At 39.1% G+C, this 18,066-nt stretch overlaps 1 long non-coding RNA gene across 1 annotated transcript in view, besides 1 other annotated feature; it reads left to right on the top strand.

Moving 5' to 3' along the window:
* The window catches only part of LINC01416 (long intergenic non-protein coding RNA 1416), a 38,512-nt gene that overhangs the window by 12,715 nt on the left and 7,731 nt on the right, over positions 1-18,066 (top strand). The window contains exons 2-3 of the long non-coding RNA NR_110755.1: positions 9,058-9,148; positions 9,282-9,480. This is a non-coding gene — a long non-coding RNA (long intergenic non-protein coding RNA 1416). The remainder of the gene's footprint in view (positions 1-9,057; positions 9,149-9,281; positions 9,481-18,066) is intronic.
* Positions 14,308-14,905: an enhancer, noted in NCBI's record as "NANOG-H3K27ac-H3K4me1 hESC enhancer chr18:53559811-53560408 (GRCh37/hg19 assembly coordinates)". NCBI's record gives its function as "activates a minimal SCP1, AML or CMV promoter by ChIP-STARR-seq in primed H9 embryonic stem cells {active_cell/tissue: H9 hESC(primed)}" and the evidence as "EXISTENCE:reporter gene assay evidence [ECO:0000049][PMID:30033119]".

The following is an 18,066-nucleotide window of genomic DNA, read 5'->3' as shown; positions in this document are numbered from 1 at the left end:
TCAGCCACCATTGTGACTGAGAAGATTTCAGCTATAATAGCTGCAGTTAGGGAATAGCCTCTGTCTTTATTTGGGACAACACTTTTGCTATCAAGCTGATGGAATATTTACCAATCTAAGAGAGGGAGAAAATAAAAGCATTTACATTCCCAAGCCTCTTGGAAAGCCTCCGCATTTTGACTTGTTCTAGAGAGTTGGATCTAGTAGCATCAACAGCTCAGGAGATATCTAAGGCAATGAGGGTGACGTGAAGCCAGTGCAAAGCACCATTAGATAACAGTTCTTTCTGATTAAACAAAGTTGGGAGTATAATGCCAATTTTTATATTAAAATCTGTGATTGCTGTTCTTCCCCTAACTACCCTATCGACATTTTGAAAAGCTATTTGATATTTTGCTTGGAGTAAAAGAAAGACTGAAAGAGCTCACAATTAGTACAATCTAGGACAATGTAAATCTAGACTCTGTGTAGCTTGTACTACCAAGTGTCCATGCAGTACTAAGCAGTAAGAAAGTCCACAATAAAAATTAGCTTCAAGGGGCTGAAAATCTATTTAAAAGAAAAGGAAATCTTTTAAAAATTAGAGATGGCATAACATTAGCTAGAAAAAATGTGAAGGAAAATATCAACATCAAGTAATACAAATGGAAATAATTACCAAGAAGATCCAACGTTTCATCTTTCTCCCCCATTTCTGCTTTTTTAGCACCAATTTAAATCCCCCTTGTCAAGGTTCAACCTGAGTCACCTTTGACTTCCTGTTACTCAGGCGCTCCAAGTTATGAAGATTTTTAACCACATTCCTCTTAAGTGTGTTTCCTCCTTTTTGTTCCTATTACCTTTGTTGAGGCTCTCATCACTTCTGTTTGTTTGTTTGTTTGTTTTGTTTTGTTTTTGAGACAGAGTCTCACTCTTGTCACCCAGGCTGGAGTGAAATGGTGTGATCTCAGCTCACTGCAACCTCTGCCTCCCAGGTTCAAGTGATTCTCCTGCCTCAGCTTCCTGAGTAACTAGGATTACAGGAACCCACCACCATGTTCGGCTAATGTTTGTATTTTTAGTAGAGAAGGGGTTTTACCATGTTGGCCAGGCTGGTCTCGAATTCCTGACCTCAAGTGATCCACCCGCCTCGGCCTCCCAAAGTGCTGAGATTACAGTTATGATCCGTCATGCCCAGCGGTTCTTGACACTTCTCATCTTCTCTCCTGGTCTCCATCTCTACTACGCTCTTTTCATCCTGTTCATGCTATAAACCAGTGCCCGGGAAAAACCGTGAAATGCAGGTCTGAGCATATCATGCCTCTGCTCTGAAATCTGCATTTACTCCCCATTGACTAAGGAATTTAATCGCTAACTCTTCCTATTGTCCTTGGTCTGCTCAAATAGCTCCAACTTATTTTTGACCCTCTCTATACACCAGACACTGCAGTCCAACAATACTTATCACACAGTCCCCTGAACCTAAAGTTTAATGCTTTGAATCATCGACATTCTACTCATTATCAAGATCCTTTTCCATTGTTATTTCCATTTTTAAAGTTGTTCCTACTCATCAATTAGATGTACTAGCCCTTCCTTATTAAACTTTCTTTATGACAATTATTTTATGTTGCCTGCTCCTATGGCTGTTTGGGTACTTACTGCACCTGAATTTAAGCTCCTTGAGGGCAGGGAATCTCTTAATCATTTTTAGTATTTCCTACAGCACTCTGAATAGTCCCTTAAACATCATAGCTACTCCATGAATATATGGTGATTCAAATAAGATGGTTTAAGGGAAAAACAAAATTTTGTGTTCTTTTCAATAAAAGAGAGGAATATTTTGAAAAACATTATATATGAAATTTTATAAAGGTAAATAGAAACTTAATTTTGGAGAAAAATATTAAGGAATGTACATCATTCACATTCTAGAATGAGCTGCTCACCCCTCAGAAATGGAAAGCATTACCATTATTCCCAAACATAAAATTATGGAAATTTAAAATGGAAAGGAGTGATTAGGTTATATTGGTTTTTTGCCCTGTCAACTCGAGATCCTTATTTAATTCCATTATTCAGTGTTACTAAAAGCAGAAGTCAATTTTAGTCCATTTTCAAGCCTTTCAACAAATGAGTTTTAAATGAGTCACATGATTTTTCTTTAGGAGGCTGGTTTCATCAAGTAATAATGTATTCTCATGCATAAAATCTTCCCAACTCTTTAGAGATCACTAGTTGGACAATTGTAGTTGCCGTATTGATTCTATTTCTTTTGAATAAGTTGGTCTGGTTTTTAACACCTATCCCCTTTCCTCCAAAACCTATAGAATATGAAATATTCAAAGGCTTTGAGATGTTTTCCTTTGGAGTGGTGAGTTTTATTTATTTCAGATGTCATTGAGAAAAATGTTGAACACTGGCTGCTTCGTGCCCATTGAAATTCCATGTCGGGGCAACTGCTAAGACTGTTGCTGGGTCATCAGTCAGGAATTGGGTGCATCAGGAAACCTGGCAAGGTGACACATTTGCTCTGGTTTACTTGAAATTTTTCTCAGTTTTAGCACTGAACCTTCCATTTCCCAGAAGACCCCTCAGTACAGGGTAGATGTGATGGTTGGCGGTCCCACTGTTAAAAGTGGTACCTGGGGGAAGAGTATCTTTTTATCATGTCCCCTTTTATACAACTCTAAATATTGTATTGTGCATGTAGTATATATTCAAAATTTTTAAATTAAAAATGTAGAATCATGATTGGGAGCTCTAACAATCAGCTGGGGGGCGGGGGGGAAAGGACAGAAACATGTCAGATACTCCAAAAAATAAAACCTTGGTTGATTCCATGTTAGACCCCAGAGAACAATGCCTCTCTAGACCAGCAACATGAACCTGGAGATTCCAGGCCCTTCCAAAACTATGGAGTTTTCACAAGAAGTCTGCAGATCCATATGTTCACCGAATAATATCTGCAGACAGAATAATATGACTCACACATGTATGCATCTTTGCTCTTCAGATATTCGTAGGAACTACTGTCATAAATAAAGCAAAACTTCATTTACAATTTTTAAAAATTCAGTGCATGGGTTTTAGAACTACAGCATTTCAGAGCCGGATAGGACCTTGGAGATTGACTTTTCCGGCCCCATTCTTTTACAAATGTGGAAGCAGAGTTGCACAGCTAGTTAATGGAATGTGTGCTCCATGAACGAATCTACCTCATGGTGCTAAGCTAATTACAGAAGGGTTTACACAGCTCTTATAGAAGTGTGATTAAGTCCAGTGGGGATCTGTGATAACCAATTGACTATCTATCTTCAATGGCATTAAACAGTGGCTCTCCCCGCACCCCTGCCCCCCCCACCCGCCCGCCTTGATAGCAGACAGTGACAGCCTGGAGTACAGTTTCAAGGAGACAGAGACCTGCATCACAGGCCTGAGTCTCCCACCACCTAGTCGAGTGATCTTGGGCAAGTCATTTACTATCTGTAGCCTTCACCGTTCTTGCCTAGAAAAAGAAAAGGATAAGATAACCTCTGGGTTAAGATAACCTCTGGTTAAGATAACCTCTGGGATCCCTTTTTTGATAACATTTTATGAGCCTGCAAACCATTAGGAGAACTTTCTTGGTCAATGCTTATAGAAAATTTGCTCCTGGAGCTTTAGTGGAAGCCAAGATTACACACTTAGTCAATGGCAGAGTTACAATTAGAATCTAATTCTCTGGACTCCCTGTCTTTTTATCTACTTTGGTCCCCCCACAGTACATGTAAATAAGCTTGCAATGACTGCCATCTGCCCCTAGGAAGTGTGGATCACAGATCAACACAACTATGGAAAGGAGAAAAGTAGAAGCCAGTTCTAAAGTTCAAGCTTGGTAACTTCAGATTTTCTATTTTGTGCCCTATGTACAAGCAGTGACCATTACTGATATCATTATTATCATTAATATTATGTTAATGACTTATACTTGAGGAATGCCTTAGAGTTCACAAATCACATTACTTATATGATCTTATTTAAGCCCACAGCTATACTCTGAAGTATTGCAAGAAATCATTTTTATCACTAATTTATGAGCATGGTGATTGGTGCTCCAAGACTACACTCTCCAATAAGTTAGCCATTAGCCATATGAGGCTATTTAAATTTAAATTACTAAGATTAAATAAAAGTTTGAATTCTGCTTCTCTATTATACTAGCTATATTTCAAGTACTCAGTAGCCACATAGGTGCCATGGTTAACATATTGAATAGCACAGATATAGAGCATTTCCATTACAGCAGAAAGCTCCATTGGATAGCACTGCTCTAGGAGATTGTGACTTGCTCAAGTTCACATAGCTAGTAAGTGGCAGAGCCAAGGTCTTGGGCCTCTGACCCCAGAGCTAGTGGCCTCATCCCAGAGCAGCTTTGCCTCACCATCTAGCCTACCTATAGGTCCCTTACCACTTAATTAGTAGTGTCCACTAAAGAAAGGTAAACCAGTTTTCATATCACCCTTAGAGATGCACAAAAGGGTAGCACCATTCTAATTTACAAAATGTAAAAAAGGATCAGGTGATAGGGAACACAAGCCAAGTCTGAAAATAAAGAGCTAAACCTCAAGCATGTTCACTAGCAACCTGAAAATTAAGTATTTGTTGCTCTGTGTCTATTAAACACCCAATAATTTTCAAATATTATCAGTGTCAGGCCTTTACTTTTCAAATATTATTAATGACCAATTCTGAATCTTGAATTAGCCAGAAGACAAACGGCAGACTGGAATTCATACTACTCAGAATTCTAGCCAGAGCTATTTCACTCACATTTAACATCCCAGTTTTTCTTTCAAAAAATATATATATAGGCAGGCATATTAGAGGAGAAATTGGAACATTATCATATTGTTTGCCTGTACCGATTTTTACACAGGTGTCATAGAAAATAGAAATAGTCATCATTATCTAGTTCCACATCGAAGCTTAATTCAAAACAGAGAGAGCACACTGTAGTGCTCCCAAAAAGGCAACAAAGCCTAAGGAATTTTTTTTCAGCCCACTTTGGAATAGATCAAAGGTATACATCCTAAAAAAGAAACAGCATTGTGTCTGTAAAGTCTGAACTTTGAAGCCACAGTAGGTCTTGGTTAGAAACTTCACTGACTTTTTCCTAGTTTCTTGGCCTCTAGAAATCCCTTAAACTTTCTGAGACTCAGTTTCCTCATCTAGAAAAAGAGACACAATATTTCCTACCTTACAAGGGTTGCTTTGAGGACTGATGATAATGCCTGTATAGCACCCAGTTTTTCTGAGTCCAGTGTATTTTCATCCACTCACGGAGAGGTTAATTATTAACACACTGAAGGTGAGATGGGGTACATGATGGCAAGTAGGTGACAATTTGTACTGGTAACCTAGAATTCTCTTTGGTGAAAATTTTCACTTATTAATAGCTTGACTTTCTTCAACTGAAAAAATAACACGATTGGCTAGACAGTGCCAAGTAAAATGTGATCTTTAGTAAGAGGTATTATTATTAATTTCCCTTAAGGAAAAATATTAACACATCATGGAGTTTAGCCATTTTTCAACTGAAAAATATCAGGCCAGGTGTAGTGGCTCACGCCTATAATCCCAACACTTTGGGAGGCCAAGGTGGGCAGATCACCTGAAGTCAGGAGTTCGAGACCAGCCTGGCCAACATGGTGAAACCCTGTCTCTACTAAAAACACAAAAGTTAGGTGAGCATGGTGGCAGGTGCCTGGAATCCCAGCTACTCAGGAGGTTGAAGCACGAAAATCGCTTGAAACCGGGAAGCAGAGGTTGCAGTGAGCTGAGATCATGCCTTTGCACTCTAGCCTGGGCAACAAGAGCAAAACTCTGTCTCAAAAAAAAAAAAAAAATCAAGCTTTTAATAAGCAGAATTTTCACCTAAGATAATTCTATATTGCCACTCCAAATTGTCACTTAATTCCCATCTCACCTGCACTGTATTTATTTCCGATAAACCTCTCATTGAGTGAAGAACAATACATTGGATCAAGAAAAGTTTGTTTTCAGATCTCAATTACATTCTGTGTATGTTTATAGATTTTACCCTGGGGAGAAAATACAAATACTCATCTTCTACCTACATTTTACAAGAACAAGTTCTATGGTAACTTTTAAATTCATTATTAGCAAAGGTTATATTTAAGATTCCTGTGTCTACTGCTTAATAACACCCAAATTAGTCTCGATGGAATTAGCTGTAATTAAGGACATTGTGAAATATGGTGGGGCAAACAGAATTACGCTATATTACTTTATTAATAATATTCTTTAACTACACTGTAAATTGCTATTAGGCCTGCATATTACTGCCTGGATATGGAAATAGTCTTTTGCTATGCTAATCTAACACAATTTTCTTTTAAATGTAAACAAATTATACTCTATTAATATGCTGTTCTACTTGCATAGTTAATTATTGTAACAGTAAGGAATAAAATTGTTCTGCTTTCTCTGTTTCTGATGGAAAAAGGGCTACATAAATAGTTTAATAGGGAACTAATTATGCAAAAAATTTAGATGCCTAAAATGTGTTTGTAATTACATTAAAATGGTCTTCTGTTCAAATATTGGAAAGCCTGCTAATTGGAGGCTAGCTGAAAATTTAAATATTGTGAATCAATGATTTTAATACAGTACATATTTAGTTGTGTTTCTGTTCATATTTGTCTTGAAAATGAAGAGAATATTTAACAGTGTTTAATAAGAGGGGGTCTGAGTTTCATACCAATGAAGTTAGTCTGTGGCAGACTGGAATTTTAAGCATGCATTTTACAGCATTATCTTTAATTTACTCAAGAGGTATGGACAAGTTTTGGCTCAGCAACAAGGAAAACAAAAGTATACTGCTTGCAGGATAAGTTGATGTGAAAGGAAAATCTGATGTGGACCAAATCAAAGAGTCCTGGAAAATGCCCCACGACAGGCAGACCAGAGTTGATATGGTTGTAAATTGTTAAATCATTCTAGATAAATAAACACATGTAGCAGATCACCTGCCTATTCCCCAAAGATTTCCAAGTGCATCGCTTTATCTGGTCATAATTAAGGAATGCTAAAGATGCAGTGCCTTGTCCTAAATGATTCTTTGTGGCATCCAAGCTTTTATTTTGATGTGGAACCGAGGTTCTTAATCTGAGAAAAATGCAATGCTAAAATAAGCCCACGCTTTTGGAGAGAATTTCAACAACCTGTCCTGAATTTTAAACTATTTTGGAAAAAAAAAGAAGGGCAAACTGTTCATTATAATTTTTACGACAATACAAATGAAAGCACTGCATATGTAACCAGGATTAATTGCACAGATAATTGGGAACCCAGAAATAACTTTATAATTTAAAATTCTTGCCTACTTAACAGAGCTGTTGTGAGGATCAAGAGGTATGATGTACTTGAAAGCCCGCTGAAGACTGGAAAGCTCAGACAGGAGGTAGCAGGACGATCACCATGGTTATTAATAATAATGAAAAGATGAAATATCATTTTTCATATAACATAATCCCTGCCATGGTTCTTTCCACTCAAACTTCTATAACTATCATACCTCGATGGTACAAGTAGTGGTTAGGTTTGCACTCTGAACATAACGAACGAGGGTGTGAATCTTGGCTCTCCCTTTTAGGGCCTGATAGTCTGCAAAACAGTGCTCTGTGGGCCTGTTTTAAGATTTAGTACAGGGAACAGTCACAATCAGTCAACTGACTAATTTCTCCTTAACCACTGCCACATTCTTTGACCTAAAGGATATTTTAAAGATAATAAAAGACCCACAAATCCATTGCAAGCACTTTAAAGATACTGTGCATTGGACTGAGCCCAACAACTTAGCCTGGTCATGAACTTCTGCCCTCTTTTCACTCCCTACCTATCACCTATGCAAGCTCTCTGCTCTACTCAGCACTGGAGAGTCCTTCTTTCCCAAAAATGTCATGCCCCTTCCCGCATCTGGGATATTGAGTCTGCCATTTTCCTCACTTGAAATGCTTCCTCCTCTTTCCATAACTCTTCTTTCAGCCTAACTCGAATTCTCTTTCTTCCTGTAGGACCTTCATTGAACATTCCAACACATACTTAGCAATTTCTCCCTTTCTTTTGAATTCACTAGCACATAATATCTGTACCTTTTTCTTGGCACTTGGTCTGTTATCTTGTTTGTTATTCCACTTTCTTAGTATTGTATTTATTTTCCTCTAACTGGATAATAGCCTCTTTCAGGAATTTTATACATCTTTGTGTTTCTAGCACATGCTATGACCTATACATAGTAGACTTTGTACAGATGCTTGCTCTTATGTGAGAGCAGAAGCACATGGTGATCAAAGAATGTGTGGAAATGGTCTCAAGTCAGGTCAGCCGGTCTACCCCAAATAATCCATTTAAATGGACAGGAGGGTTTGAGCCTACTGGCAGTTCTGTAATGCACATGACAGGCAGCTCTGTTTGTCTGAGAAAGCATCTTGAGTTATGGTAGAACCTGATCGGTTTATATCAAATATTTTGATGAAGTGGTGCTTTGTCTAATTCTATCCTGTCATTACACAACAATTATCCACCTCTCTATATGCACAGAGAACATACTGTGTGTATACTCGAGTTAGACTTAAGCCACATATCTGAAAATTGTCAATCCTGTTTTTACTCTACTAAAATTATTTCTCATGTCTCTTTTCTTTTTTGTTTGTTTGGTTTTTGAGACAGGGTCTCACTCTGTTGCCCAGGCTGGAGGGCAGTGGCACAATCATAGCTCACTGCAGCCTCAAACTCCTAGGCTCAAGCAATCCTCCCACCTCAGCCTCCCAAGTAGCTGGGACTACAGGTGCACATCATCATGCCTGGCTAACTTTTAGCTTTAGTTTTTGTAGCGACAGGGTCTCACCAAGTTGCCCAGGCTAGTCTCAATCTCCCAGCCTCAAGCAATCCTCTTTCCTCGGCCTCCCAAAGCACTGAGATTATAGTCATGAACCACTGCACCCAGCCTCATGTCTCTTCAAGATAGAAATTTCAAAGGTGTATGATTGCTATTTACTGTAACTTTTTATTTAGGGTATTTGTTATGTCTCAGGAAAGCTGGATGACTATCTCATTCTCTGATGATGGAGAAGAATACTCACAACCTGCTCCCCACCTCCCACTGGTATGTTAATCAAAAATATCTACCTTTTTAAAAATGCCACCAGACTTTTACACCAGTGGAAAGTTGTGTATTGATTGATGCAGTCTTCAATTAATGCATTCTCTTTTTCCTTCCCACAATTATTAATGAGCAGTGAAATGCCAATATGGTGGAAACAGAAGGGAGAAGAAAGAACAGCGGAGACACTGATCATTCGAAACCAAAGAAGCAGCTCATGCATAATGGAGAGCTATCTGCATGCAAATTGCTAGGAGTACTTCCTACTTTTCTGGGATATTGTATTTAGCCCTCTGTACTCTATTCAGAAGAGTTCTGTTCCCCAGGCCAAGAAGGTAAAATGTGGATTGTACTTGAATAGTCTTGTGAATGAAAAATGGCTAAATTCTTTTTATTAAGTGGAATAATCAAACTGGCAGAGTAATTTCCCTAAATTTAAATTCCCATTACAGAGAAAAGACACACTCTTGCCCACTTATGGCCTCTGTTCTTTATCACATGCTTTCTCCCTAGCTGCAGAAGCCTAGAAGAACCTTGTTCAATGGATTGTCACAGAGAGAGCCGAAGGCATGGCCACAGAAAGTAGGGCACAGGGAGAAGCTAACTCCCTAATTTCTTTTTCTTTTTTCAGTTGAGATATACATGATGCTTTCTTGATCTTTTGCTCTGTTTCCACCAGTTGTATTATATATGCATATAAAATGTCCATTTAAAATACCATACAGTTTGTGCCAGACTAGTCCATTTTCACTATCTTCTGATCTCTCATAGACAGAATATTAAAATCCAAGAAGGATTTAGCTCAGTGCACATGTTGCCACTGGTAACCCATGGTAATAAGGTAACCCTATATATTCACAAGTGCCATATGTTACATGCATAGATACATATGCAGACAGAGTGACTGTTTTTAGAAAATTCATGCCTTCCAGTAAAAAAAAAAAAAAAAAAAAAAAAAAAAGTGTTCCCTGGAGTACATCACCAGTGCTATGGGCTATTGATGCAATTTACTCTCCAACTTTCAGAGCTTTATTTCTGGTTTTACAGGAATTACAGGAAAACCAAGTTATAAAAGTTCTTAAGAAACAAAGAACGAGTATTTACTGAAAAGTCTTCGTGAAGTGAAATCTATCAGTAGACGTCCAAATGTAAGCCACTTAAAGGTTTACATTCAAGCCAGATAGAGACTTTTTCTTAAAAAAAAAGAGGTATATTTTTGTCTTCATTTTCTAACAAAATAATATCCCCTATTCTTGACTGTTAATATATTGATGTAACCAGTAAAATTTAAAAATTATATATATATGTAAAATTTAAATTTTACATACATGGACATGTAAAATTTTTAAATTATGTATATTTTGGATTCCTTAACAGATTGCAATTTTTCCATATCCTCCTCAGAAGTCAAAATCTCAGGACATAGGAGATACATTAACAGATGAAGTGAACTCATATTTTTTTAGCCCAGCAAGACAAGACCAAACCTTAGCTGTGGCTCCACTTAGTCTAGTAGAGGAATGTGTAACATTTTTTTAAAAGGGAAAACTACTTTCTCAAAAGACTTTATAGCTTCTTAACACCTTGATTTGATCCAGGATAGAAAGATAATACATTTAAACTCTATAGAAAAATTTAATCTGGAAGAAAATAGGTATATTTGTTTAAGTTTCAAAGACATTAATAAATGCCTCCAGTAAGATTACAATGAAGCAACATGAATAAAGACCAAGTCAGAGCTTCTGAAGCCCCTCAGTAAGCTCTTTTATCTAGAATCACCATCTGTTGAACTGAATGTAGAAGGCTGCCTCAGTTTTCTCAATGGGACTGTTACTAGGCAGGGTATGAGAAAAAAGAGATTCTACTGTCAGGTACATTTATTTGGTTCCAATTCCAGAAAGCATAGTACAAAGGAATAGTGGAATATGCTATGCTATCAATTTTATAAGTGACTTCTTTGGAACAAAGGTGCTTTCTTCTACATATTCTTGAATATTCCTAAGAATTTTTTTTTTTTTTTGAGACGGGGTCTCCCTCTGTCACCCAGGCTGGAGTGCAGTGGCGTGATCTCAGCTCACTGCAACCTCAACCTCCCAGGCTTAAGCAATCCTCCCACCTCAGCCTCCTGAGTAGTTGGGACCACAGGCACGTGCCACCATGCCTGCCAGGCTTATTTTTTGTAAAGATCCAGTTTCACCATGTGACCCAGGCTGGTCTCCAACTCCTGGGCTCCACCAATTTGCCCACCTCAGCCTCCCAAAGTGCTGGGATTACAGGTGAGAGCCACCTCTCCCAAATCCTAAGAACATTTTTATATTACTCTATACTCTGTGTTTTCTCTGATGGTATGTATTGCTTTGATAGCCAGAATTTTAAAAAAAAATGGTTTTAAGGAGGACAAAAGCAATGTCTGACAGTCCCTTCTTCCATCCTATATTACAAAAAAAAAATCTTTATTTTCAGACATTCTCATTGTGCCTGAAGGCTTCTTTTCCCCTTTCCTGGCCAAAGATGCCTCCCTCCACTGGGAATGCCAGGCCCACATGCCCTGCTTAACCTCCTCTCCCATCAATATACAGTCCCCCCTTCTTCTCTAGAGGGCTCTGCTCCTCTCTCTTCTTCGTCACCTTTATATATGTTTACATTATGGTGGCCTCAAGGAATTGCATTACAGGTACCAGACCTAAAGTGCCGTGAAAATCCGACACCCTCACCTGCCCACATTACACAGCAGCAGGAATGGAGAAGGCTTGTTCCAGGCTGAGAATTACCAAAAAGTCAGTTTATATTAGCTGTGATAATTCACAAAGCCTTGTGCATCCTAGTAATTTGGTTCTTTCTAATGCCTCCAATTATTCTGTTACAAATCGATAAAAATTAGGTCCAAAAGTCAGCATATCTTCTTTTTATCTCAAACTATAGCAATGTCCCTTAAATGTCCAGGAAGTAGATAAATTCATAATAACATAGAGAAGCTACAAGAGAAAAGTAAAACAGATTACTCTCTTCTATATTTTGAGTTTTCTGTATGTCCGTACACAGTCATATATTCCTGGGTTCTTGTATCTAACCTCTTTTTAACACATCACTTGTTTTTGGTAGATGGATAAAGGAAAGACTCACAGACTCTTTTAGAGCAACCAAAGAATCTGTAGACTATTGTACTTCGAAAAAATAACCACTTGAACATTGTCCTTTATCCCTTCCTCCTTCAGAGTCTTCTCATTCTCTGTTGAGCCTTATAAGCTCTTCTGTTTCAAGACTGCTACTTTCAAAAATAGGTATGAGCTGCTCTGGGAAACAGAAGTTGTTTGTTGTTTGTCACTTCAGAGAAATGAAGGTGAACCCAGTGCACCGTGGGGAACCAGTTGTTGCATAAAGCATGAATTTGCTATAAATGCAGAGAGAGGTACAGAGGCTCATCTCAGAGACAAATACTGTAGATGGATTTAAGATAAAGTTGGTTTTATTGACTAGAAAAAAACAGGAATTAATTATAACATGCTACTTAAAATATACTGCAAGTAAAAGAGGCAAAAATATAATAAATCAGCTATGGCAGTAATCTCTATATGATTTCTTTAACTTGATATTTCCCCTTATGGAAGTGAGGAATCAGCTCTAGGGCACTGAAAAAGAATGGAATTCATGCAAACATCTTCTTTAACTTTTTTTGAAAACAAAATCCCAGGATAATCTAAGGGATTTGTTTTAATGTTTCTTTATTCGGGAAAATCTTATGGAAACTTGACAATTAGGGAGAGAAAAGCAGTAATAAGTAAACCATAGTGCCTGCATGGGAGATCAGGTGAGAGAAGAAATAGACGGAGTGAGGCCCAACTGTGGCCAACCCTGATTGTTAGTAAGAAGTATTTGTAAGAAGGCATCAATTAAAAACTTTAAAGTATGTATATTTAAGGCGTTTTTTTTTTTACTTTTGGTGAAACTTCTTTGCCATATTCATATACAAGGTTTATGTAATAGATTTCCCATGAATGTGAAAATGTACCATGTTGTTTACATTTTAACCAGAATACGCTGAAAGTCCAGCAAAATGAGACTTTCTCTCTAAATATCGCCTTTTCACATTTTACCAGTTCTTTCTTTGCCCTGCTCTCTAGACTTCACTTCTCCATGCCCCCTTTATAAGGCTAATTGCTATTTATCATTGTGTTCCACTTAGTGACACTCCCTAGGCAGGTCTTCCCTGTAACCCCACTCTAAGACAGGTACCCAAGCTATGTGCTTCCACATCACTCTGAAATTCCCCTGGCAACATTAATTCCAGTTCACGTTACTTTTTAAGTGTCTTCCCCATTAGACTAAGTTCCAAGGGCAAAAAATCACGTCTGTCTCACGAACTCTGCTGTCTCCTGAACCTTCAATAATATCACCTAGCACTCAAATGTTTATGTTAAAGCAAAATTTATCAGGCTACTTAAATTAGGCCCAACACATTTCCAGTAATTCAGTGATTAAAAATAGAATGGAGAATGGATTTTCAAATTACCAAAATATGTCAAGTAAATGGCTGTAACAAGTTTGAACTCTTTAATCATTCAACATCCTTGTGTTTGCTATCACTATCAGCTACTTGCATAATCTCCCACAGTCTTGTCCTCTTCCTTTTCTTCCATTTGGAACTCTGAGTCTATGCCAGTAGCAGTCACTGTCCTCTTACTCCAAGACACCATCATCATGGAGTAAAACTGGATGGACACAGTAATAGCAGATATAGTTCAGAAATAACTATATTTCTTCTTGATAGGGTCACATTCTCAGCTCTAGCTGCTCTCTGGCTAACCACAGACACATCCCACAGATACAAATTTTTAAAGTGAACAAAATACAAGGTTATTTACTTGAAATGAAATCATGTTATTAATATTTATGTTACCTGGGGGGAGGAGACAAGATGGCCGAATAGGAACAGCTCCGGTCTACAGCTCCCAGCCTGAGCGACGCAGAAGACGGGTGATTTCAGCATTTCCATCTGAGGTACCGGGTTCATCTCACTAGGGAGTGCCAGACAGTGGGCGCAGGTCAGTGGGAGCGCGCACCGTGCGAGAGCCGAAGCAGGGCGAGGCATTGCCTCACTCAGGAAGCGCAAGGGGTCACGGAGTTCCCTTTCCTAGTCAAAGAAAGGGGTGACGGACGGCACCTGGAAAATCGGGTCACTCCCACCAGAATACTGCGCTTTTCCGACAGGCTTAAAAAACGGCGCACCACTAGACTATATCCCACACCTGGCTTGGAGGGTCCTACGCCCACGGAATCTCCCTGATTGCTAGCACAGCAGTCTGAGATCAAACTGCAAGGCGGCAGCGAGGCTGGGGGAGGGGCGCCCGCCATTGCCCAGGCTTGATTAGGTAAACAAAGCAGCTGGGAAGCTGGAACTGGGTGGAGCCCACCACAGCTCAAGGAGGCCTGCCTGCCTCTGTAGGCTCCACCTCTGGGGGCAGGGCACAGACAAACAAAAAGACAGCAGTAACCTCTGCAGACTTAAATGTCCCTGTCTGACAGCTTTGAAGAGAGCAGTGGTTCTCCCAGCACGCAGCTGGAGATCTGAGAACGGGCAGACTGCCTCCTCAAGTGGGTCCCTGACCCCTGACCCCCCAGCAGCCTAGCTGGGAGGCACCCCCCAGCAGGGGCACACTGACACCTCACACGGCAGGGTATTCCAACAGACCTGCAGCTGAGGGTCCTGTCTGTTAGAAGGAAAACTAACAAACAGAAAGGACATCCACAACAAAAACCCATCTGTACATCACCATCATCAAAGACCAAAAGTAGATAAAACCACAAAGATGGGGAAAAAATAGAACAGAAAAACTGGAAACTCTAAAAAGCAGAGCGCCTCTCCTCCTCCAAAGGAATGCAGTTCCTCACCAGCAATGGAACAAAGCTGGATGGAGAACGACTTTGACGAGCTGAGAGAAGAAGGCTTCAGACGATCAAATTACTCTGAGCTACGGGAGGACATCCAAACCAAAGGCAAAGAAGTTGAAAACTTTGAAAAAAATTTAGAAGAATGTATAACTAGAATAACCAATACAGAGAAGTGCTTAAAGGAGCTGATGGAGCTGAAAACCAAGGCTCGAGAACTACGTGAAGAATGCAGAAGCCTCAGGAGCCGATGCAATCAACTGGAAGAAAGGGTATCAGCGATGGAAGAGGCAATGAATGAAATGAAGCGAGAAGGGAAGTTGAGAGAAAAAAGAATAAAAAGAAATGAGCAAAGCCTCCAAGAAATATGGGACTATGTGATAAGACCAAATCTACGTCTGATTGGTGTACCTGAAAGTGACGGGGAGAATGGAACCAAGTTGGAAAACACTCTGCAGGATATTATCCAGGAGAACTTCCCCAATCTTGCAAGGCAGGCCAACGTTCAGATTCAGGAAACACAGAGAACACCACAAAGATACTCCTTGAGAAGAGCAACTCCAAGACACATAATTGTCAGATTCACCAAAGTTGAAATGAAGGAAAAAATGTTAAGGGCAGCCAGAGAGAAAGGTCGGGTTACCCTCAAAGGGAAGCCCATCAGACTAACAGCAGATCTCTCAGCAGAAACCCTACAAGCCAGAAGAGAGTGGGGGGCCAATATTCAACATTCTTAAAGAAAAGAATTTTCAACCCAGAATTTCATATCCAGCCAAACTAAGCTTCATAAGTGAAGGAGAAATCAAATACTTTACAGACAAGCAAATGCTGAGAGATTTTGTCACCACCAGGCCTGCCCTAAAAGAGCTCCTGAAGGAAGTGCTAAACATGGAAAGGAACAACCAGTACCAGCCGCTGCAAAATCATGCCAAAATGTAAAGACCATCGAGACTAGGAAGAAACTGCATCAACTAACAAGCAAAATAACCAGCTAACATCATAATGACAGGATCAAATTCACACATAACAATATTAACTTTCAATGTAAATGGACTAAATTCTCCAATTAAAAGACACAGACTGGCAAATTGGATAAAGAGTCAAGACCCATCAGTGTGCTGTATTCAGGAAACCCATCTCACGTGCAGAGACACACATAGGCTCAAAATAAAAGGATGGAGGAAGATCTACCAAGCAAATGGAAAACAAAAAAAGGCAGGGGTTGCAATCCTAGTCTCTGACAAAACAGACTTTAAACCAATAAAGATCAAAAGAGATAAAAAAGAAGGCCATTACATAATGGTAAAGGGATCAATTCAACAAGAAGAGCTAACTATCCTAAATATATATGCACCCAATACAGGAGCACCCAGATTCATAAAGCAAGTCCTGAGTGACCTACAAAGAGACTTAGACTCCCACACATTAATAATGGGAGACTTTAACACCCCACTGTCAACATTATACAGATCAACAAGACAGAAAGTCAACAAGGATACCCAGGAATTGAACTCAGCTCTGCACCAAGCGGACCTAATAGACATCTACAGAACTCTCCACCCCAAATCAACAGAATATACATTTTTTTCAGCACCACACCACACCGATTCCAAAATTGACCACATACTTGGAAGTAAAGCTCTCCTCAGCAAATGTAAAAGAACAGAAATTATAACAAACTATCTCTCAGACCACAGTGCAATCAAACTAGAACTCAGGATTAAGAATCTCACTCAAAACCGCTCAACTACATGGAAACTGAACAACCTGCTCCTGAATGACTACTGGGTACGTAACAAAATGAAGGCAGAAATAAAGATGTTCTTTGAAACCAACGAGAACAAAGACACAACATACCAGAATCTCTGGGACGCATTCAAAGCAGTGTGTAGAGGAAATTTATAGCACTAAATGCCCACAAGAGAAAGCAGGAAAGATCCAAAATTGACACCCGAACATCACAATTAAAAGAACTAGAAAAGCAAGAGCAAACACATTCAAAAACTAGCAGAAGGCAAGAAATAACTAAAATCAGAGCAGAACTGAAGGAAATAGAGACACGAAAAACCCTTCAAAACATTAATGAATCTAGGAGCTGGTATTTTGAAAGGATCAACAAAATTGATAGACCACTAGCAAGACTAATAAAGAAAAAAAGAAGAATCAAATAGACGCAATAAAAAATGATAAGGGGGATATCACCACCGATCCCACAGAAATACAAACTACCATCAGAGAATACTATAAACACCTCTATGCAAATAAACTAGAAAATCTAGAAGAAATGGATAAATTCCTCGACACATACACTCTCCCAAGACTAAACCAGGAAGAAGTTGAATCTCTGAATAGACCAATAACAGGATCTGAAATTGTGGCAATAATCAATAGCTTACCAACCAAAAAGAGTCCAGGATCAGATGGATTCACAGCCGAATTCTACCAGAGGTACAAGGAGGAACTGGTACCATTCCTTCTGAAACTATTCCAATCAATAGAAAAAGAGGGAATCCTCCCTAACTCATTTTATGAGGCCAGCATCATTCTGATACCAAAGCCTGGCAGAGACACAACCAAAAAAGAGAATTTTAGACCAATATCCTTGATGTACATTGATGCAAAAATCCTCAATAAAATACTGGCAAAACGAATCCAGCAGCACATCAAAAAGCTTATCCACCATGATCAAGTGGGCTTCATCCCTGGGATGCAAGGCTGGTTCAATATATGCAAATCAATAAATGTAATCCAGCATATAAACAGAGCCAAAGACAAAAACCACATGATTATCTCAATAGATGCAGAAAAGGCCTTTGACAAAAACAACCCTTCATGCTAAAAACTCTCAGTAAATTAGGTATTGATGGGACGTATTTCAAAATAATAAGAGCTATCTATGACAAACCCACAGCCAATATCATACTGAATGGGCAAAAACTGGAAGCATTCCCTTTGAAAACTGGCACAAGACAGGGATGCCCTCTCTCACCACTCCTATTCAACATAGTGTTGGAAGTTCTGGCCAGGGCAATTAG

The sequence above is a fragment of the Homo sapiens genome, chromosome 18 (assembly GCF_000001405.40).
Source record: "Homo sapiens chromosome 18, GRCh38.p14 Primary Assembly".
NCBI lineage: Eukaryota > Metazoa > Chordata > Mammalia > Primates > Hominidae > Homo > Homo sapiens.
Note: the sequence above shows the minus strand (reverse complement) of the source record. Positions and strands in the feature narration are given on the sequence as shown.